Below are 20,141 nucleotides of genomic sequence, written 5' to 3' on the forward strand. Positions count from 1 at the left end.
GGTTAGGGTGTGTTTGTGTGCACCTGAGAGCTGTAAACCTGGACATTGGGAAAGTTGGGAAGGATGAGGCAGGCAAGTACCTTCACTGAGCCAAATCTGGTGCTAATGCCTTTGTCTGTCTGTTGCAGGGCCCAACATCTGTACCACGCGAGGTGTGAGCTCCTGCCAGCAGTGCCTGGCTGTGAGCCCCATGTGTGCCTGGTGCTCTGATGAGGTAAGGAGCAGATACCAGACCTTGTTTCTTCTCCAGACTAAGCTGCTTTTGTGCAGAAACAGACCCATGAAGTTATCACCTCCCTCTTGAATACACATGCCCCTTATCCCTTCTAAGCAAAACTTTGATGAATTTTTCCCATTGATGCATGGTGAGGAGCTGTCATGGGGATGTTGCTGGGAATACTAACCCAAGTCTACCATATAGCCCCTGGCCCTTGCCAGTTTGGCTCGACCTCCTGTCCTCTCTGTAACCACTGCTGCCCTTTCTCACACTTTGCTTGCTTTTTTTCCTAAGAAAAACAGTTTATTTTAAATTTTTTGGTAGAGACAGGGTCTCACTATGTTGCCCAGGCTGGTCTTGAACTAGACATAAGAGATCCTCCTACCTTGGCCTCCCAATGTGCTGGGATTTCATGTGTGACCCACCATGCCCAGCCCTTTGCTTGCATTTCTTGGGGTGGAATATCCCAGGGAAGCAGGGCGTCAGGTCTCAAAAGGAGAGGCAGCAAGGGGTATAGGTACGGATGGGGTTGGGAGGGGTTGCTGGCTTACTTCTTTTTCCTAGAGGTTAAAAAAGGCAAATAGAAGAGAAATCTTGTGCTTGTGTGTGGTGATGTTTAGTCAGAAAATCTTTTCTCTTCCCTTCTCTTTGATGATTGGGCCCCGCGGCTTTACATTTTTCTTTCTCTTCTTCTTTCCTTCCTTCCTTCTCACAGGTGTTGAAGAAAGGAGCTGGGCCCACTTGGTGAGGATGGAAGGGGGACAGGAAAGGGTTAGTTGTGTCTAGGCAGAGGGTTTGTTGTGTCTGGGGCCCTAGGGAATGAGTGTGTCTGAGGGAATGGCTATGTTTGTGGCTGGGATGGAAATTTGGAGCTGGCAAGAGCTGATGGGGTGGGGGTGGAAGATGAATGTGGTTGAAGAGATTCGGTGATTATAGAGTCTCAGGCTGAGTCACTGGCCTGGCCAGCAGGTGGTTACCTGAGTTCCTGGCCTGGCTGCGGCTCAGCTACCTGAGGCTTCCTCTGTCCCACAACAAGTCCCAGCCCTCTCCAGTTTTATGACCGCTCCAATCCAGCCCTCAGTCTCTCTGTCTGCTTCTTTTTCAGATCTGCTGAGTTTCCTAAAAAGGCAACCTCCCTGGCCGCCTGGGGGGAGGGGCGGGAGCTGGGAGGCTGTGTTTATCACCGGCCAGGAGGGCTGCCAGAGCAGCAGAGGCCAGCTCCGCACGTTGCTTTGGCCTCTTTGCCGTTCAGCACGGGAACTGCTTCCAGAGGCAGCTGCCCAACATCTGGGCCACATTAACTTCATTTAGCAAATGAAACATTCCCTGGGGCTAGGGAAGGGGTGTAAGGGGGGCATGGATGAGACCTTCTCCCCCACCCCCGCAGGTTCTCCTCCCCTCTGGGCTGAGCGGGCTGCTCAGTGTGATGTAGCCTCCTCCCTCCTTATTCACTATGTCCTCCTTCCTCCCATCGTGATATTACTAAAGCTTCTTTTACCAGGAAGTTGCAATTCTGCAACTGAATGCTGGAAGAAGAGAGAGCTGAATGGGGAGGGGGGCCTTGGGTAGCCGAAAGCCTTCAGGAGCAGAGGAAGGTCAGGACAGAAGCCCTAGTGTCACTCAAAGGGTGCTTCCCCCTTTTCCTCCTTCCCTCCTTTCCAACCCAAAGCAAGAGAAAATGCAGGTATCTCTGGCCCAGAGAATCTGGGGAAAAAGAAAACCTTCTTGGAGGGTCTGTCCTGCTCCCTATCCCCCATTTTTCATCCCTCTTGATCTGTATAGGGACTAGCCATGCAGCTGAGGTGGGCTGGGGCCTGACCAGACAAAGCCCTTAGGTCACATAACCAGATTTCAAAGATGCAAATGTAGAATATTTATGGGTGACTGTTGTGCTCCTTGTCCCCTGGGGCAGGCCTGGGGAGGGCAGAGGGAAAGGTGCAGGGTAGATCAGAGCATGACATAGGACCAGCCTAGGAATTAGGGGTGCAGTCAGTGAGGAAATGGGCGCAGCTAGGACCAAAGAAAACAAATGGAAGGAGGTAGAAAGTCCAGTAAGATATTCCCTGGGAGAATGGCATATAAACATGAAAGGAGGCGGGGCCAAGGTTAGTGAAGGACTACAACTATCCCTCAGCAAGAGGGAGGAGGGAGAGAAGGAAGGGTGGAGGACCCCAGTATGGGACAGAATGTGGTGACCGGGGAGGGATGGGAGGTGGGAATCCTGGACTGTAACCTGAACATAAATGCTATTTTGTTCTTGAGAGGAGCAGGGCTTCCCCTGGATAGGCCAAGTTTAACTGCTGAAAATGCCTTGGACATTGACTTCAAAAAACCAAAGGTGAACTGGCTGGTCCATTTTTTAGGTAATTTTTTGAATAATCAAACCTTGGAGAGCCCTCTGTTCTTCTTCCTCCCCTGAGTTGGCTGTTCCAGGCAAGCTGGCAGTGCCTGGAAAAACAACTGGTTGGGCTCGGCTTTCCCCTTGGTCCTAGAGGACCGGAGCTCTTGGGTGTGTATAGTGAGAGCTTGGCTGGGTAAGAGGAAAACAGCCAACGTGGATGAGCACGGAGTTTTGGGCCCATCTGCATAGGGTGTGTTCTTGGAGGGTTGGATACCGACGCGGGTTGGGTTGCTGTGCTCTCTCTGGTCCATAAATCTAGCAAAGAGGCGGGCTTTATACAGAGACTCAACGCGTAGTCTTAGTCTCAACAGTGACATGCTGGAGTCTAGAACCTCCCAAACTCATTTGGTGTTGAGAATTGCCTGAGGTGCTTGTTAAAAATAAAGCTTCCCGGGATGGATCCTGGGTCTGTTACATCAGAATGGATATTTATGATAGCAAGTTTGGCAAACATTGCTAATTGAAGGGCCACTGGGGTTGGGTCAAGGTGGATGGAGGTGGAGTTAAGGTTGCCAGATAAATACAGAACATCCAGCCTGGTGCCTGTAGTCCCAGCTACTCAGGAGGCTGGAGTGGGAGAATCCTCTGAGCCCAGGAGTTTGAGGCAATAGTGCACCATGATCATGTCTGCTAATAGCCACTGCACTCCAGCCTGGGTAACACAGGGAGATCCTGTCTCTAAAAAATAAATCTAGATTACAGAACATCCACTTAAATTTGAATTAAAAAATAATTTTTAGTATAAGTTTGTCCCAAATATTTGCTAAATTTGGCAACCCTACAGTGGAGGGAAATACTAGGAATTCTTATATAAGCCTGAGTACACCCTGGAAGGTGGGCCAGCTTCCCACTTAGCCTGACAACCAAGGGTGACAGAGGAAGAAGGAGTTTGAGTCTAGCAAAGTAGAGGAAGACTCTAATAGGATTTCCTTCTCATTTTCTTCTCTGCAACTGCAGGAGCAAGATATAGGCCATGATTTACATTTCTTTATAATCACAAACATAATTTTATTCTGACTTGTCTTCTTTCTATTTATTTTTAATCTGGAGGACAAATGTTCATCTTGAGAGTTTTGCTCCAATTTATTATTGTAAAAGGAAGTATAATATTAAGAGTGCTCCTCTTCTTGTAAACAATGAAATGTGAATACCAACAACTATAAACAAAAATGCTTCATGTTCCTCCCCTCCTCCTTTCTGCCCTCTTCATTCTTTTCTCTTTGCATGTTCAAGTGATTTCTTGTCCTCACCAGATGAGTTAATCAAGACAGCAATGGATGGGAGATGTTTTGGTGGTGCTCTGGGGTAAAAAAAGTACTGGGGCATATTGACTCTCGCTCTCCAAGAAGAGTATGAAATAATAGTAGTTATTGTGGTAACTGTAAAAAAGAGTCACCTGCCAGGTGTGGTGGCTCACTCCTGTAATCCCAGCAGGGCCAAAGTGGGCAGATCACTTGAGGTCAGGAGTTTGAAACCAGCCTGACCAACATGGCAAAACCCCGTCTCTACTAAAAATACAAAATTAGCTGGGCGTGGTGGCGCAGGCCTGTAACCCCAGCTACTAGGGAGGCTGAGGCAGGAGAATTGCTTGAATCCGGGAGGTGGAGGTTGCAGTGAGCCAAGATCGTGCCATTGCACTACTCTAGCCTGGGCAACAAGAGCGAAACTCCATCTAAAAAAAAAAAAAGAGTCACTTATATTTGCATTTATTTGCTTATACTGTGTCCTAAAGCAGGGGCTCCAATTCCTAGTCCATGGCCTGTTAGGAACTGGGCCGCACAGCAGGAGGTCAGCAGCAGGTGAGTGAGCATTACCGCCTGAGCTCCACCTTCTGTCAGATCCGTGGTGGCATTAGATTCTCACAGGAGCTCAAACCCTACTGTGAACTGGGCATGGGAGGGATCCAGGTTGTTCACTCCTTATGAGGATCAAACTAATGCCTGATGATCTGGGGTGGAACAGTTTCATTCTGAAACCATCCCCACCTCCCTGTCCATGGAAAAATTGTCTTCCCTGAAACCAGTCCCTGGTGCCTAAAAGGTTGGGAACCTCTGTCCTAATGGATTTCAGTATAGTTAACTTATGTTGAGATTTTTATATTTTGAAAGCATTTCACATTCACAGTCTTCTTTTACTTCCTGACCAACCCTGTGAAATAGGCAGGATAATGACAACTATTCATGTTGTACTTTCCCAATTTCCAAAATGGGATTAATGGAGAATGGTACCAAGAGCGTGTGTCACCCTCCCAGGAGAGGGAGGTAATTCAGCCAGCTCGCAGGGCGCTGGCTGGAACCTCCCACCTCTGTGCTCAGGCCCTTCCCCTGGGTCTTGGCTATTTTTGCCCTTTTTGTGTAACATCCGGTTTCCCTGGGAACTGAAACTTTAATATCCACCCCTCCCCCTTCTAGCTTTCTTCCTGCATAACCTGGAGACATTCTTTCTACCTTCTCAGCCTGGGTTACCAAGAAAGGGAATGTTGCCCAAGTATGTTGAGGTCACTGCCTTGGTGCTCTTCTGGAACAGAGGGCTCTCGTGGAGAGCTTGGCTGACGAGCAGGCCTGTTATATTCCTGACCTCTGATGTCAGCAACCACAAAGGGAGGGAGGGAGGCAGTTTTGTTTTTCAGTGTTTAATTTTTCTAAGGAAACTCATAACAAACCATTAGGACTGTCAGCACATCTTAGCGCTTCAAACCCTCTTCTCATTAGGACTGCCACATTAGAAAATAGGAGTCAGGAAACTCCCGTCTAATGCATTCTCTCCCTCTGCTGATGGAGCCTGAAGATGCATGAAGGCCTTGCTGCTCTCATCCAGTTTGCTGGGCTCCGGTCCCTGCTGTCTTCTTCAGCATCTGTCTTGGTCCTGGAAAGGATCCGCTCCTCACTGCATTCTGATTTATCCACTGCCTTTTTGGGAAGGTTTTCTCCCTGGGGCTTTGTGGGCAGCTAGAATCAGAGATAGGATTGGGGCTTTTTTGAGCAAGAGAAAGACTGCTTCCAGAGGAGGAAGGGGTAGGAGAGGTGGGCAGGGACAACAGGAGGAGTCTGGGCACAAAACCTGAAGTGCCCAAGTTCTCCCCAGGTCATTCCGTCCTCAGCCAGAGCTGGGTGCACGGGAGACTTTCATCTTCCTCAGAGTTGTGGAAGGTCTGTGATGTCCCTGTTGGAGTATTTGCCACCAGGAAGGTTAAGTCTTATTCATTGATTTCCATCGCCGAGGCTGGTTCCCTGCCTGCATACCTGTGAAGATGAGAGAGAAAGAGAGAAGCTGCTGGCTTCCAGAAACTCTACTTACTTCTTGCCTGGGCCAGGGTAGTCCTCATGCTGTTGATGTTGCTCGTGTCCCCATCCACGTGGGGAAGGCTTCAGCCCATGAAAGGGGGATCGGACTGGAGAGGGAGAGAGACTTTAAGCATTGGGAAGGGTTTTGGGTTACAGGGTTTTTTTGTTTTTGTTTTTGTTTTGAGGTGGGGTCTCACTCTGTCACCCAGACTGGGGTGCAGTGGTGTGATCTTGGCTCACTGCAACCTCCGCCTCCCTGGCTCAAGTGATCCTCCCACTTCAGCCTCCTGAGTAGCTGAGATTCCAGGTGTGCACTACCATGCCCAGATAATTTTTGTATTTTTAGTGGAGACGGGGTTTTGCCCTGTGGCCCAGGGTGGTCCGGAACTCCTGAGCTCAAGTTATCCACCCGTGTCGGCCTCCCACAGTGCTGGGATTACAGGCATGAGTCATCGCACCCGGCCGGTTACAGGGCTTTTGAGTATGAATGGCTCCTTGTGGCCCAGTCCCTCTTCTGGCATTATGGCTGCCAGGTTGCTTGAGGGGGCTGAGGAGGCAGATGTCATCCATCCTTCTCCATCCCTCGCACATGCCCACCTTGCATCCTGTTCCCTACCTGGGGCATTCTCTGTTGTGGCTCCTCCCTAGGACCATTCCTTCCACACTTTTCCTTTTCCGTGCCTTGACTCTCACTCTATACGGAATGTAGTAAAGCTTATTTTATGATGATAATTACAGTCAGACAATCTAGCTGGCCTCTCAGTTCTGCCACTTCCTAGCTCTGCAACTTTGAGCAAATTCCTTAATTTATCCAAGCCTCAGATTCCTTACCTGTAAGATTGGGTTCCTTATTTGTGAAGCCTCCAAACCTTAGGTTTCTCCCTTGTAAAATTATAATAGTTCCAGCATTATGGAACTGTCAGGCATATTGCAATAATCCATGTAAAGTGCTCACCACAGTGCCTGACATACAGTAAGTGTTCAATAAATGTCAACACTAGTTGTTCTGGGATATTGGTGTGGGTTATCCAGCAGACATTTGGAAGTGCTGGTTGGGGATGTGGGTAGGGGTGGGGTTGAGGAGAGCCCGAAGGCCTAGACATTGTGAAATAGGTCCCGGGAGGGGTTTTCCAGCTTCCTGGCTGGTCCCCTCAACTTGGTAAGGAGCCCTCATAGACATGCACCCACACAGTGTTGGCTAAATTGGCTGAATGTCAGAGCCGGAAGGGACTGAAAACACTGTGTCATCTAAAGGCCTTGTTGAACAGGTGAGGACACAAAATGACGTATCTGAGGTCACATGACTAGTCAGTGGCAGGCCTAGGATTGATCTTCTTTCCTGATTTTCAGTGTTCTTTCCAGGGTGGCGTGGTCCCCTTCAATACTCAGGTTTAAGCACCCAGAGCCCCAGGGGGCCGTGGGTTTTTGGAAGGGTACTCAATTTGTTCTTTGTTCAGGGTGAAGGAGGACACTGAAGTGATAGGATGGGCTCTGGTTAGGTGCCTGGCCCATGTTCCCAAGTTTGTGGAGTTTATTCATAATTAGCTTATCCAGGAAGTACTTGTCAAGCATCTCATAGTAATAGCTTACATTTGCTGAGGACTTCCTCTGTGCCAGGTGCTGTCCAATGCATTTTATGTGGATTGTCTTATTTAGCCTGTGTGACATCCCTGTGAGGGAGGTACCATAATTACTATTATTTTAAGTAACTTTTATTGTGGGAAAATATACATAACATAGAATTTACCATCTTAACCATTTTGTTTTGTTTTGTGAGATCAAGTCTTGCTCTGTCACCCAGGCTGGAGTGGAGTGGCACGATCTTGGCTTGCTGCAACCTCCACCTCCCAGGTTTAAGCGATTCTCCTGCCTCCGTCTCCCAAGTAGCTGGGACTACAGGTGCACGCCACCACACCTGGCTAATTTTTGTATTTTCAGTAGAGACGGGGTTTCACTAGGTTGGCCAGGCTGGTATCGAACTCCTGACCTCAGGTGATCTGCCCACCTCAGCCTCCCAAAGTGCTAGGATTACAGGCATAAGCAACTGTGCCTGGCCCATCTTAACCATTTTTAAGCATACAGTTCAGTGGCATGAAGTACATTCATAATGTCATGAAACCCCTCACCACCATCTATCTCCTTAACTCTTTTCATCTTGTAAAACTAAAACTCTGTACCCATCAAAACAGTAATTCTCTATTCCTCCCAGTCCCTGGAAACTACTATTCTACTTTTTGACTCTATGATTTTGATTGCTGTTAAGTACTGAAGGAGGGACTGTTATTATGTTCGTGTTACAGCTGAGGAAACTAGGCTTGGAGGAATTAGGTGACTTGCCTTAGTAAGCAGTTGTAAGTGCAATGCTGAGATTTACTCCTGTGCTCTTAGCCCTGACTCTCTCCTGCCTCCTTACACTGCCTTTCCCTATCACATTTGTGGTAAGTCCTAGGTCGGATGCTGGGAAATGAGAGGGGCCAAGACACACACAGTCCCTGACTACATGGATCTCACAGTCTAGCCCGTGTCAAATACAGTAGCTTCCAAACTGTTTTGACTCTGACCTACAGAAAGAAACACACTGTACTGGGTATAGTTATTTATTATATGTGTTATTCTCCACTCTCCTCCAACAATATAAGAATTTCACAAAACAACCCTTTGACTATTTGTACACTTTCATATTTTCTATTCTATTCTATTGTATTTTATTTAACAAAATGATGGTTGACACCTGCTAAATTGATTTTGGGACCCACAAATGTGTGGTATTCCACAGTTAAAAAATGCTGGTCTACCAGGCATCTTACTGTACAGGCTCTCCTTCTAGCTACAACTCCATGAATAGGCCTTCTTGATATCTCAATTTCTCTTTTCTTTTTCCTTTTTTTTTTTTTGGTAGAGACGGGGTCTAGCTATGTTGCCTAGGCTGGTCTTGAACTCTTGGCCTCAAGCAGTCCTCATGCCTTGGCCTCCCAAAGTATCAATTTCCCCTTTCTGTACAACGGTCCTAAGGGATTATCCCAGGAAAGACCACAACAATTTGTTTATGCTCCAATGTACGGGGTAAACTCTTAGCTATTGGGAAGTGGTAGGGCCTGCAGGAGGTAGAGAGTCGCCATAGCTCTGATTGCTGGACTTCTCTTTGGGCTCCTGTCTTACAGGCCCTGCCTCTGGGCTCACCTCGCTGTGACCTGAAGGAGAATCTGCTGAAGGATAACTGTGCCCCAGAATCCATCGAGTTCCCAGTGAGTGAGGCCCGAGTACTAGAGGACAGGCCCCTCAGCGACAAGGGCTCTGGAGACAGCTCCCAGGTCACTCAAGTCAGTCCCCAGAGGATTGCACTCCGGCTCCGGCCAGGTAGGGCTGGGACTCTTTGCGGGGAGAGACCTGAAGCAGGTGGGCATAGAGCACAAGGTGGAGGTCTGAGGAGGAAGTCTTGGGGAAGTAGCTCAGAATGGAAATGGGGTGGGAAGACAAGGATGAGGGGGGAGGTGTGGGCAAGAGAATGGAAGAAAATAAGAGACGTTAGGACTTGAGTCAGAAGATCTGAGGTGAATCTTTACTGTATCATATATTAGCTATTTGACCTTGGACAAGTTACTTAACCCTTCAGACATAGTAGGTGCTCAAAAAATATTTGTTTCTTCTTTACCCAAGTGCCTGTTTTACCTAGCTTAGAGCTTTGTGTTGAGGTGCAAATGAGATATAGAACAAGAAAGCGACTTGTAAGCCCCCCTTTCATGGGGAATTGGGACAGGGGAATGGGGGCAGACACAATAGGTACACAAGACCTTTAGAGGGAGGAAGGGTTAGACTAAAGACAGAAATTTTGAAGCATTGATTTTGACTTTCCAACTAAGTCAAGAAGGATTTACCTACTATCAAGGCATGTGTTGGATGCAATGGGATTCAGAGAAGGGTAGGGTGCAGTTTCTGTCTTTTACAGAGTCTGAAGTGTAGTAACTATCAAAATCTCTGTGACTCACAGTGATAGACCCGTGGAACTCACAGGATTAGAAATCCCCTGGGATTTAGAGAAAGTGGAAAATTTTAGAATGGAAAAGAAGAGGTTAAAAATAGGAGGGTCAAGAGATTAGAAGAGTAATAGAATTGCAAAGGAAGAGGAAAAGGGACCAGGGCTTTCTGGTTTGCTTTGATCATGCAATTTCTTAGTCCCAACTGTATCCAAATCTGCTTATTCAATCTTGGTGGGAGAAGAAGATAAAAACTAACATCTTTCTGCCTTCCAGATGATTCGAAGAATTTCTCCATCCAAGTGCGGCAGGTGGAGGATTACCCTGTGGACATCTACTACTTGATGGACCTGTCTTACTCCATGAAGGATGATCTGTGGAGCATCCAGAACCTGGGTACCAAGCTGGCCACCCAGATGCGAAAGCTCACCAGTAACCTGCGGATTGGCTTCGGGGCATTTGTGGACAAGCCTGTGTCACCATACATGTATATCTCCCCACCAGAGGCCCTCGAAAACCCCTGCTATGAGTAAGTCCCTCCTCCAGACGCCAGGACAGCATCCTTTGCCCCAGGAAGGTCCAAGTCCTGGTTCCTATTTCTAGCTCTAGGATCACTTTGTTGGCTGTCTTCTTGCCAAACTATAGCTCCTTTCTACCTTGGTCTCCCTGTTTGGCAAATGGGCTAGCTTGTGGATCTGGAGTGTTGTGTCAATGGAGCCTAAGGCTGTTTGGAGAACCTAGAAAGAAAATTCATCAGCTTCTCAGTCTTGGTAACAAATAAATAGAAGGCAAGAGAGAATGGGAGGGAAATGACGTCAAAAGTAGAAAGAAATTTATGGATAAGGAAACCGAGAAATTACGATTACAGAAGGATCGATTCCATTGTTGGCATTATTGTCTTCATCAAGGCCGTGCATCCTGCAGGGTGAAAACAGAAGAAATGAAGTGCTAAGGAATATAAAAGAGTGGAAATGACATTTGTTGGACACTTTTATAGTCTGTAAATGGATAACTTGTGCCTCTGTTTGACACTTTGGCTTAAAACTGAATGGCTTATTTATTTAATCGGTGGAGACTGTGCAAATCCATGTATTAGAATAACTTACAATGCTGGTTGCTGAGCCTGAAAAGGTGTGAATTTACTTTTTAGTTTTCAAAGTTACGGCCAGGTGGGGTGACTCACTTCTGTAATCCCAGCACTTTGGGAGGCCAAGATGGGAGGATCACTTGAGCCTAGGAGTTTGAGTTCAGCCTAGGCAACATAGTGAGACCCCCATCTCTACAAAAATTACAAAAAAATTAGCTATGTGTGATGGCGCATGCCTGCAGTCCCCAGGACTACAGGGAGGCTGAGGTGGGAGGATTGATTGAGCCTGGGAGGTTGAGGCTGCAGTGAGCCATGATTGTGCCACTGCACTCCAACCTGGACAATGGAGCACAACTGTCTCTAAAAAAAAAAGAAAAAGTTTTGAAGTTATATGATGTGGCATTCAACCTTCTATCTGGGTTGTAAGGTTCCCAGGCAAGACATCAGCTATTAATTAAACACACTATTTTGACTGGGGGCAGAAATGCTCCTGTCTTGCATGATCTATCAATTTATTGATGGTTCAGGGACCTTAACTTACTGATGGACTTTTGCTTTATTGTTACTTTAGGAAAGTGTTAAGTATAAGGTGATAGTAATAGCAACTCGAGCCTCGCTCTGGTCTAAGTGCTTTGTGTGTATGAACTTACTTAAGTCTCACAACTCTTATGGGATATGTGCTATCCTGGCCCCTCTTTCATAGGTTGGATTGAGAGGCTTGCCAAAGGTCCCATGACTAGTACAGAGGGCACCTGGGATCTAAGCTCAGGGAGTCTTGTTTCCAGCTCAATCTCTTATCTTCTAGGTTAGCTGGATGGGGGTAATGTTGATGGGGAGCTTCAGATAATTTGAGGATTTTGGAGTCTGAACTGTCTGGGTAACTGTGGTTGTATGGAACTGGCCTTGGCATACCACTATCTATATTTGTCCCCTCTCTTTCCTCCCAATTCCCATGCTGCCTTTTCCATGAAGGTGTCTGCTTAAATTATCTCCCATCCCTCCCCAGTATGAAGACCACCTGCTTGCCCATGTTTGGCTACAAACACGTGCTGACGCTAACTGACCAGGTGACCCGCTTCAATGAGGAAGTGAAGAAGCAGAGTGTGTCACGGAACCGAGATGCCCCAGAGGGTGGCTTTGATGCCATCATGCAGGCTACAGTCTGTGATGTGAGTTTGGAGGACTTGGAGTGCCAGGTGTGGCTGGCATAGATCAAAATGGGAAAGGAAGTGACTGAACTCTGGGGATTTCTGGTGTAAAATGAGATGAGAACTAAGCAGGGCTTCCTGCAGTTATGAGTAGTAAGTTGCTCCTGATATTCAGCCTTGGCTTAGATCCACTCCCTGGCCTGAGCTGACATTTCTTTGAACCTCAGTGGTCTCAGATGTTCCCAGGGGAGAGCATCTTCCCATCTTCAGAGTTACTTCAGAGTTAAGGCTGAGTTAACTTAACCTCAGCAAAGTAGGCAGATGTTCAGATGAGATTTCTTCTAGCCCAGATCAGCTCTGTGGATGCACGTCAGTTTCTAGATGAGCAATGTGACTGTCATTAGAAGAGTTAAGTTTGGAGTTTAAGAAGATCTCATTCAGCTGCTTGAACTAATCAGCTATGAGACTGTTTTCTGAAGAGAATGAAACTCCTGAACTGGAAAGCTTCAGCTTCGGTTCCAAGGACTGGGACTGAGACCCTTGTTTTGAAGAAAAATAAGCTGTCCAGCCCTTTAGCCAGGGAGCACCTTGGGTCTCTGTTCTCTACCAGTGACATGGCTGAATTTGTTTTGTCTCCTCTGCCTTTGTTTTTTGTTTTCTTTTAACAGGAAAAGATTGGCTGGAGGAATGATGCATCCCACTTGCTGGTGTTTACCACTGATGCCAAGACTCATATAGCATTGGACGGAAGGCTGGCAGGCATTGTCCAGCCTAATGACGGGCAGTGTCATGTTGGTAGTGACAATCATTACTCTGCCTCCACTACCATGGTGAGATCTCTGGCACCACCTATGGTTTCTATTCATGATTGTGAGGGTTGCCCTAATCTAGGCAGAGTCTGTGTGAATATGAAAATGGCAGCCCCTCCTTCTGGGCAGGGTGCAGGGCTCGGTTCCAGCTTGCCCCTATCCCTTACCAACTGGACACCGTCATCCAGCATACAACCTATATAACCATTAGAGATGTCCCTGATTGTGGTGTTATCACTGCCTTCACTGTCACCAGCATAGCAGCAGCATCATGGGATCCAGAATGGACCCAAAGGATTTTTACAACCCAGCTGGAAAGCAGGTCTTCCTCTCCACTCTGATTAGCCCTTTCTTGGAATACCATACTAACTTGTGGTTATTGGAAGAAGACAGAGGAAAAAAAAGAGAAAGATTGGCCAGGCATATGATGGCTCATGCCTGTAATCTCAGCACTTTGGGAGGCTGAGGTGGGAGGATCACGTGAGTCCAGGAGTTTGAAACCAGCTTGGGAAATATAGTGAGACCCTGCCTCTACAAGAAAATGCAAAAATTCGTTGAGTGTTGTGGTTTGTGCCTATGGTCCCAGCTACTTGTGGGGCTGAGGCAGAAAGATCTCTTGAGCCCAGTAGTCTGAGGCTGCAGTGAGCTGTGATCTTGCCACTACACTCCAGCCTGAGTGACAGAGCAAGAACCACCCCTGCTTTTTTTTTTTTTTTTTTTTTTTTTTTTTTTTGATACAGAGTCTTGCTTTGTTGCCCAGCTGGAGTGCAGTAGTGCAATCTTGGCTCACAAGCTTCACCACCTCAGTCTCCTGAATAGCTGGGACCACAGGCATGCACTACCATGCCCAGCTAATTTTTGAAAACAGGGTCTTTCTATGTTGCCCAGGCTGGTCTCAAACTCCTTGGCTTAAGCAATCTGCCCTCTTAAGCCTCCCAAAGTGCTGGGATTACAGGTGTGAGCCATTGCTCCTAGTGGAGACCCCTTCTCTTAGAAAGAGAGAGAGAGAGAGAGAGAGAGAGAGAGAGAGAAAGAGGGGAAAGAACATAAAAGGCATGGTGAACAGGTCCTACGAGGAAAGATTAAAGGGCCAGAGTCATTTAGCTTGAAAGAAAGAAGGCTAAAGGATGATTTAGCTTATACATGAGAAAACTTCTTATAAGTTGTTTTATATGGCCATAGAAGGTTAAACAAGAGGAAAATATTTAAATTGAATCAGGAGAAATTACTATAAGCCATAAGAGAAATGTGCTGTAATGCTCTAGGTATCTGGGGCAGGTGTGAACTCTTCGTCTCCTAAGGACAATATAGCAACTTCCTCATCTAGGTGACTTAAAGGTGTACCTGTGTAAAGGCAGGAGACTGAGCTGAGGATCTAATGAGCTCCCTGCAAGGTCTAGGATCCCATGGACATGTTCACGATTCACCACCGCCCCCGCACAGTGTCCTTGAGTTCCTTGGTGTCAGCCATATCCAAGTCAAGCACTACCAGACAATGAGTCAGCAACATTTGACCCCTAATCTATGCAAGGCACTGGGCCAGGGGCTGAGGGAGGTAACAAGACTATGTATGGTTCTATCCTTGGGGAGTTTTTGGTCTACTTGAGGAGAAAGGATATATATATTTACAATAACACAAGATGCATGATTAGTGCCAAATGGGTGTGGCACAGCCAATGTGGCTATACGTATCCAAGGGAGGAAAGGTCATCATGAGCTGGGATGGCCAAGGAAGTCTCCTGAAGAAGGTGGGGGCTAAGCTAGGCCCTAAGAAAGGAGGAGGATTACCAACAAGAAGGCCACTCCAGGTGGGAGACAGTGGGCCAGATCACTGCTGAGTGGAAGAGGGAGAGAGGTGAGCAATATTTGGAAAGAAAGACTGAGACCACACGGTGGAGGATCACGAGGGCCAGGCCAAGGCATTTGTCAGTAGTTCCAAAACAGAGGCCTAACCCAGTCCCTTGTGCACGGAAGCAGCTCCATAGTATTAGTGCATTAAATTCAAGCAGGAAGAAAGAGGTGCTTAGTTTTGACACCACTGGCCTGTACCTCTTCGTCTATCCCTGGAGTTCACAAGTAGACTTCTGTGCTACTTACCCTTCTTATCTCACTGTCACCCCCCTTTTTTTTTTAGAGACAGAGTCTTGCTCTGCTGCCCAGGCTGGAGTGCAGTGGTGCAATCATAGCTCACTGTAACCTCCAACTCCTGGGCTGAAGTGATCCTGCCTCAGCCTCCCCAGTAGCTAGGACTATAGGCACTTACCACCACATCTGGCAAATAAAAAAAATTTTTTTGTAGAGATGGGGTCTTGCTATGTTGCCCAGGCTCTTGTCTCACTTTCAGCATGAAGTGAAATGGTTTAAGCACCACCACACTCTGAGCCACAGCCCAAGCAAGATAAGTTCTAAGCTTTAGACCCTAGAGATGTACATGAGACGTCATTAACCTCTACATCCTTCATTTTCCTAGGATTATCCCTCTTTGGGGCTGATGACTGAGAAGCTATCCCAGAAAAACATCAATTTGATCTTTGCAGTGACTGAAAATGTAGTCAATCTCTATCAGGTGACTGTGCCTTCGGGCTTCCTGGAGTGGGCCCTGTGATGGTGGGTGCCCCAGGTAGCCAGCCTGTGCTAGCATTGGATACAGTCCCCAATCAGGAAAGAGTCTCCCCTAATCCACTCCCCAGGAGCTAAAGATTGCACTCTGGGCCTTTTTCCTGCAATCTTGAACTTACTAGGTATGTGTTGGTGTTTGTGGTGGTGGAGGGGAGGTGGTGAGGGGTGTGAGAGGTTTCCTCTACTTTTGCTCAGGGCTGAAAAACTGCTAGATATATTCCTGGCAGTGACAATTGAAATATCCCGTACCTTCCTCCAATCTTCATCTCAGGACTCTCAGTGGGATTTGGGGAGGGCTTTTGGAGACCACCAGCTTCCTTTGGTAAGCTCTGGACATCTTTGTTTTCCTTTCTAGAACTATAGTGAGCTCATCCCAGGGACCACAGTTGGGGTTCTGTCCATGGATTCCAGCAATGTCCTCCAGCTCATTGTTGATGCTTATGGGGTAAGTGTCTTGTGCTGGGAATAGTCCCGCGGAGAGTCCACCTCATTTGGCTTACACAGCAGGGCTCAGATTTGTGAGTCCCAGTTGCCAGTCTACCACACGGTCTTACTGCCTTCTCCGTGTGCTCCCAGAGCCCAGGCAATGGCCCGCTCTAGAAGGGATGCAGCCTTCTGAGAAGGAAGGAAGGAAGGAAGGAAGAGAGAAAGAAGGAAAGAAGATGGGGATGGGGATGGTGATTAGATGGAGAAGGAGCAGAGCCCTGGAATTGTGGGGGCAGAGTGAGGGAAAACTGGGCTCCAATAACAGGGAAAAGAGAGAGCTGAGACATGGGGAAGGTGAGGTTGATGAAACATTAGGTAGAAAATGCCACTTTCCAAGGTGACCAGTATTGGCACTCCCCTTTTGCAACATCTGTGAGGCCTGCAGGAGGGTGTAGCTGGTACATTTTACCCAGACTCACCTAGACGCAAGTGGAGATGGAAAGAGGGAGCAGGTTCCTGCGCAGGAAACAGAGTCCTAGGGGTGCTCCGGCAGCTTCCAGGTCAAACCTTGGCCTCTGGCACTGCTGGGGTGAGTCCAGAGCTACTTGCCAGATTTGGCTTGGGATGGAACTGGCTCTTGCCATTTCCCGTTTCCTTTCAGTTCAATTTCTTGTCTTCTTGTGCCCCTTTCTGCTCAGAAAATCCGTTCTAAAGTAGAGCTGGAAGTGCGTGACCTCCCTGAAGAGTTGTCTCTATCCTTCAATGCCACCTGCCTCAACAATGAGGTCATCCCTGGCCTCAAGTCTTGTATGGGACTCAAGATTGGAGACACGGTGAGGTGGGCTGGGCAGGGCCTTTGTCCTGGAGCATCTGTGGGCACCCAACCCCCTTTCTTCCTTTTGTAGTGACTAAAAATGGCCCCCTTCCACCAGAAAAAAAATATGGGCAAGAAAAATACGTTTCCTGAAAGTCATTCTAAGTTAGATGTAATGGATCCACCAATCTTTTCCTCTGAGGCTTCTGTTGCGTAAGCCATTTCTGTTACGTGAACTTCACTCTCAGGAATTTGAAAAACTTACAATTTGGTTACCTTTGTTTGTGTATGCACAGTTGATTGCAAAGGAAAATATTTCTTTACCTTCAGTCCCTCACCAGTCGCCAGCCTTTCCAAGGTAATTAATACCTTTCTTTTGTAAAACGACACAAGAAAGTAAAATCTAAAATGTAAAACACTCCAGTCTCTCCACGACTTTCCTTATTGGTCGTTTCTCCTCCGCTTCTGCCTAAGGGGAGAGGGGTTGGTGGGAGGGGAGGAAGGAGGGGAAGAAAATAGATCTTTGGATACGCTGATCCTTTCTATTGACCTATCTGTCTCTCAGGCACTTGTGCAAACATCCCATGTTAGAAATATTGTCCTGAAACATGCTTTATTGCATAAGCTATGAAATGTGTGGGAACTGAAGTAGATCCTGAGCTTATGATTGACCACCATGTGGGATTGTGTGGTGCAAAATAGTGCTTTGTGCATCTTGCTGATAATTATAATCAGGCCAAAGCAGGGTGTTTATATGATCACAGGTTCTGTTCAGTTTGAGCTGGTCTATTTCATATGTGGAGTGAAAAAACAGCCTTTTATTATTTATTGACTGTAAACCATGTCTCTGCATCCAGCTAGATATGTCACAACGATACTATTCCCGTGCTTGTGTTTTTGCTTTGCAGACCTTCATATAGGGAAGGCTGAGGAACTCCAGATTGCAAAAGCATAAGACACCCAATTTGGGTATTCCTTGGCAGGGCAGGGAACAACTTTTTTTTTCCTCCAGAGCTGGAGTGTTAACTGGGCCCAACTGTGTCTAAATACAATCTTTCTTTCCATCCAGGTGAGCTTCAGCATTGAGGCCAAGGTGCGAGGCTGTCCCCAGGAGAAGGAGAAGTCCTTTACCATAAAGCCCGTGGGCTTCAAGGACAGCCTGATCGTCCAGGTCACCTTTGATTGTGACTGTGCCTGCCAGGCCCAAGCTGAACCTAATAGCCATCGCTGCAACAATGGCAATGGGACCTTTGAGTGTGGGGTATGCCGTTGTGGGCCTGGCTGGCTGGGATCCCAGTGTGAGTGCTCAGAGGAGGACTATCGCCCTTCCCAGCAGGACGAATGCAGCCCCCGGGAGGGTCAGCCCGTCTGCAGCCAGCGGGGCGAGTGCCTCTGTGGTCAATGTGTCTGCCACAGCAGTGACTTTGGCAAGATCACGGGCAAGTACTGCGAGTGTGACGACTTCTCCTGTGTCCGCTACAAGGGGGAGATGTGCTCAGGTGAGGAGAACTGCAGGGCCCCCTGTCCTGGAACCCACACCCCCTCATATACCTGCAACCACTGGAAACATAGGTGAAGGCCTGAGATGGGTCTTTGCAGGCAGAGGTGTAAGTCAGTGGTTCCTAATCTTTTTGAGTATAAGGACCAATCCCCTTTTCACGTTAAAAAAAAAAGTTACTGATAGATGGCAATTAAATTTTTAGCATTTATAGACTTAGAAAACACATGTCAGAATATGTAGTAAGGTTAGTAATAATTTTACATGAGTTTATCTTTGTATCACAAGAGACCGGGAAAAGAGTAGTATATATGCAAGACATTGGAGTGTGCTTGAACAATGTCTGGAAAATGGTGTAATGCTCTTGTTAATGTTAGCACTATTTTGTTAATCACTGTTACTACTATTGGTGCTACTGTTATTTTTTGGATTCTAGATCTTTGCTATCCAATATGGTAGGCTTTAGCCACATGTGGCTATTTAAATTAACCAAAATTGAAAAATTAAAAATTCAGTTCTTCAGCTCATCAGTGGCCACATGTAGCTAGTGGCTGCTATATTGGACAGATCTAGAACATTTCAACGTGATAGAAAGTTCTCTTGGATAGCACTGCCACAGAGAGTCCCTGCTGACAGATTGGGGATTATAATTTTAAGTCCTTCTACTCAGCAGGGTACTGAGTTGTCCTTCTCATTGCAAAATTCAGTAAAATCTTGAGGCCCACTGATAATCTCAAACTAGTTTCTCCTTGCCCCAAGAACCACTCCTGGGGTACTTTCCCAGCTAGAAGTTGAACTAATGTTAATGTAGTCTTTATCCGCAGACATGTTGGCAACACTCTCAGAGGGCAAATAGTCTTGAGTTGTTCCTGGGGCACTGAGGATGGGTTTTTACTGGGCCATAATCACTGTGGCTTAATCCCTCTTGCGACAGACACAAGTTGGTTGGGACTGGGTTACGGGTGTATTGTGTGGCCAAACAGAGAGATTATAATTGTTTTCTGGGGATGACCCTTGACTCAGATTGGCTTCATTGGCATTGGGGTTCTTTTTTTTTTTTGAGACGGAGTCTTGCTCTATCGCCAGGCTGGAGTGCAGTGGTGCGATATTGGCTCACTGCAACCTCTGCCTCCCAGTTCAAGCAATTCTCCTGCCTCAGCCTCCCGAGTAGTTGGGACTATAGGCATGCGCCACGATGCCCAGCTAATTTTGGTATTTTTAGTAGAGATGGAGTTTCACCACATTGGCCAGGATGGTCTCGATCTCTTGACCTCGTGATCCTCCCACCTCGGCCTCCCAAAGTGCTGGGATTACAGGCATGAGCCACTGCGCCCAGCCAGCATTGGGGCTCTAATCAGTTGAGCTAATCCATGCAGATACTCACTTCGATACTGATATTAACCTTTAAAAAAGCTCACTTAGAAAGGTCGATCTGTGTCTTTCTAAAGCATGTCAGTAACATAAAAATGACTGCTTTTTTTATTATCTACGACATTGTTTCCTTTACTCATGCTGTCAAAATTTTAGAGAGAGTTTGGAAGGAAGTGTTATCAGAATGATTAGGGGAGAGCAAGAGATCAGATACACACAGATGAAAGCACAAACAGCAACCATTTGAATTAGGGGGTGAGGCAGGAGTTTCACTTCATTTTACTATTTAAAGTATTTATATCTAATTCAAAGTACCAAAGGAAATGGGTAAATTTGAAGTGGGAGACCCCTGGGAAGAAGGTTGGGGACTGAGGGAGAGAGGGTGGTCCCAGGAGAGGAGTACGGCTGGACCACGGGGGCACCCCCAGTCCTCCTCCATGGCCTGATGGTTCCTGGTCTGGTGTGAGGCACTGCGGCAGGATCCCAGCCAGAG

At 47.1% G+C, this 20,141-nt stretch overlaps 1 protein-coding gene and 1 long non-coding RNA gene across 2 annotated transcripts in view, besides 12 other annotated features; one reads left to right on the forward strand and one right to left on the reverse strand.

Moving 5' to 3' along the window:
* The window catches only part of ITGB3 (integrin subunit beta 3), a 59,917-nt gene that overhangs the window by 20,464 nt on the left and 19,312 nt on the right, over positions 1 to 20,141 (forward strand). Inside the window, exons 2-10 of the mRNA NM_000212.3 lie at positions 129 to 214; positions 9,064 to 9,259; positions 10,153 to 10,405; positions 11,970 to 12,132; positions 12,780 to 12,941; positions 15,391 to 15,486; positions 15,895 to 15,984; positions 16,664 to 16,798; positions 17,849 to 18,278. Of these exons, the coding sequence (NP_000203.2) occupies positions 129 to 214; positions 9,064 to 9,259; positions 10,153 to 10,405; positions 11,970 to 12,132; positions 12,780 to 12,941; positions 15,391 to 15,486; positions 15,895 to 15,984; positions 16,664 to 16,798; positions 17,849 to 18,278 (1,611 nt within the window). The remainder of the gene's footprint in view (positions 1 to 128; positions 215 to 9,063; positions 9,260 to 10,152; positions 10,406 to 11,969; positions 12,133 to 12,779; positions 12,942 to 15,390; positions 15,487 to 15,894; positions 15,985 to 16,663; positions 16,799 to 17,848; positions 18,279 to 20,141) is intronic.
* Positions 1,013 to 1,307: a silencer, noted in NCBI's record as "tiled region #629; K562 Repressive non-DNase unmatched - State 1:Tss". NCBI's record gives its function as "represses a minimal TATA promoter and a strong SV40 promoter by Sharpr-MPRA in K562 cells {active_cell/tissue: K562}" and the evidence as "EXISTENCE:reporter gene assay evidence [ECO:0000049][PMID:27701403]".
* Positions 1,603 to 2,150: an enhancer, noted in NCBI's record as "H3K27ac-H3K4me1 hESC enhancer chr17:45353259-45353806 (GRCh37/hg19 assembly coordinates)". NCBI's record gives its function as "activates a minimal SCP1, AML or CMV promoter by ChIP-STARR-seq in naive H9 embryonic stem cells {active_cell/tissue: H9 hESC(naive)}" and the evidence as "EXISTENCE:reporter gene assay evidence [ECO:0000049][PMID:30033119]".
* Positions 4,858 to 5,227: an enhancer, noted in NCBI's record as "active region_12306". NCBI's record gives its function as "activates an Ori minimal core promoter by ATAC-STARR-seq in GM12878 lymphoblastoid cells {active_cell/tissue: GM12878}" and the evidence as "EXISTENCE:reporter gene assay evidence [ECO:0000049][PMID:35858748]".
* Positions 5,235 to 5,972, reverse strand: LOC107985029 (uncharacterized). Its single transcript, XR_001753127.2, has 2 exons — positions 5,679 to 5,972; positions 5,235 to 5,566 (listed from the first exon to the last, which is right to left on the reverse strand). It is a non-coding gene; the product is annotated as an uncharacterized LOC107985029 (long non-coding RNA).
* Positions 6,193 to 6,487: an enhancer, noted in NCBI's record as "tiled region #4923; K562 Activating DNase matched - State 8:EnhW". NCBI's record gives its function as "activates a minimal TATA promoter and a strong SV40 promoter by Sharpr-MPRA in K562 cells {active_cell/tissue: K562}" and the evidence as "EXISTENCE:reporter gene assay evidence [ECO:0000049][PMID:27701403]".
* Positions 6,193 to 6,821: a biological region, named in NCBI's record as "Sharpr-MPRA regulatory region 4923".
* Positions 6,321 to 6,821: an enhancer, noted in NCBI's record as "H3K4me1 hESC enhancer chr17:45357977-45358477 (GRCh37/hg19 assembly coordinates)". NCBI's record gives its function as "activates a minimal SCP1, AML or CMV promoter by ChIP-STARR-seq in naive H9 embryonic stem cells {active_cell/tissue: H9 hESC(naive)}" and the evidence as "EXISTENCE:reporter gene assay evidence [ECO:0000049][PMID:30033119]".
* Positions 11,970 to 12,019: an enhancer, noted in NCBI's record as "active region_12307". NCBI's record gives its function as "activates an Ori minimal core promoter by ATAC-STARR-seq in GM12878 lymphoblastoid cells {active_cell/tissue: GM12878}" and the evidence as "EXISTENCE:reporter gene assay evidence [ECO:0000049][PMID:35858748]".
* Positions 12,110 to 12,399: an enhancer, noted in NCBI's record as "active region_12308". NCBI's record gives its function as "activates an Ori minimal core promoter by ATAC-STARR-seq in GM12878 lymphoblastoid cells {active_cell/tissue: GM12878}" and the evidence as "EXISTENCE:reporter gene assay evidence [ECO:0000049][PMID:35858748]".
* Positions 12,810 to 12,859: an enhancer, noted in NCBI's record as "active region_12309". NCBI's record gives its function as "activates an Ori minimal core promoter by ATAC-STARR-seq in GM12878 lymphoblastoid cells {active_cell/tissue: GM12878}" and the evidence as "EXISTENCE:reporter gene assay evidence [ECO:0000049][PMID:35858748]".
* Positions 14,253 to 14,547: an enhancer, noted in NCBI's record as "tiled region #4395; HepG2 Activating non-DNase unmatched - State 20:ReprD, and K562 Activating DNase matched - State 5:Enh". NCBI's record gives its function as "activates a minimal TATA promoter and a strong SV40 promoter by Sharpr-MPRA in HepG2 and K562 cells {active_cell/tissue: HepG2 | K562}" and the evidence as "EXISTENCE:reporter gene assay evidence [ECO:0000049][PMID:27701403]".
* Positions 16,872 to 17,858: an enhancer, noted in NCBI's record as "VISTA enhancer hs2033". NCBI's record gives its function as "enhancer in: trigeminal V (ganglion, cranial)[3/4]" and the evidence as "EXISTENCE:transgenic organism evidence [ECO:0001131][PMID:17130149]".
* Positions 18,097 to 18,597: an enhancer, noted in NCBI's record as "H3K4me1 hESC enhancer chr17:45369753-45370253 (GRCh37/hg19 assembly coordinates)". NCBI's record gives its function as "activates a minimal SCP1, AML or CMV promoter by ChIP-STARR-seq in naive H9 embryonic stem cells {active_cell/tissue: H9 hESC(naive)}" and the evidence as "EXISTENCE:reporter gene assay evidence [ECO:0000049][PMID:30033119]".

This window comes from Homo sapiens, chromosome 17 (assembly GCF_000001405.40).
Source record: "Homo sapiens chromosome 17, GRCh38.p14 Primary Assembly".
NCBI classification, from domain to species: domain Eukaryota; kingdom Metazoa; phylum Chordata; class Mammalia; order Primates; family Hominidae; genus Homo; species Homo sapiens.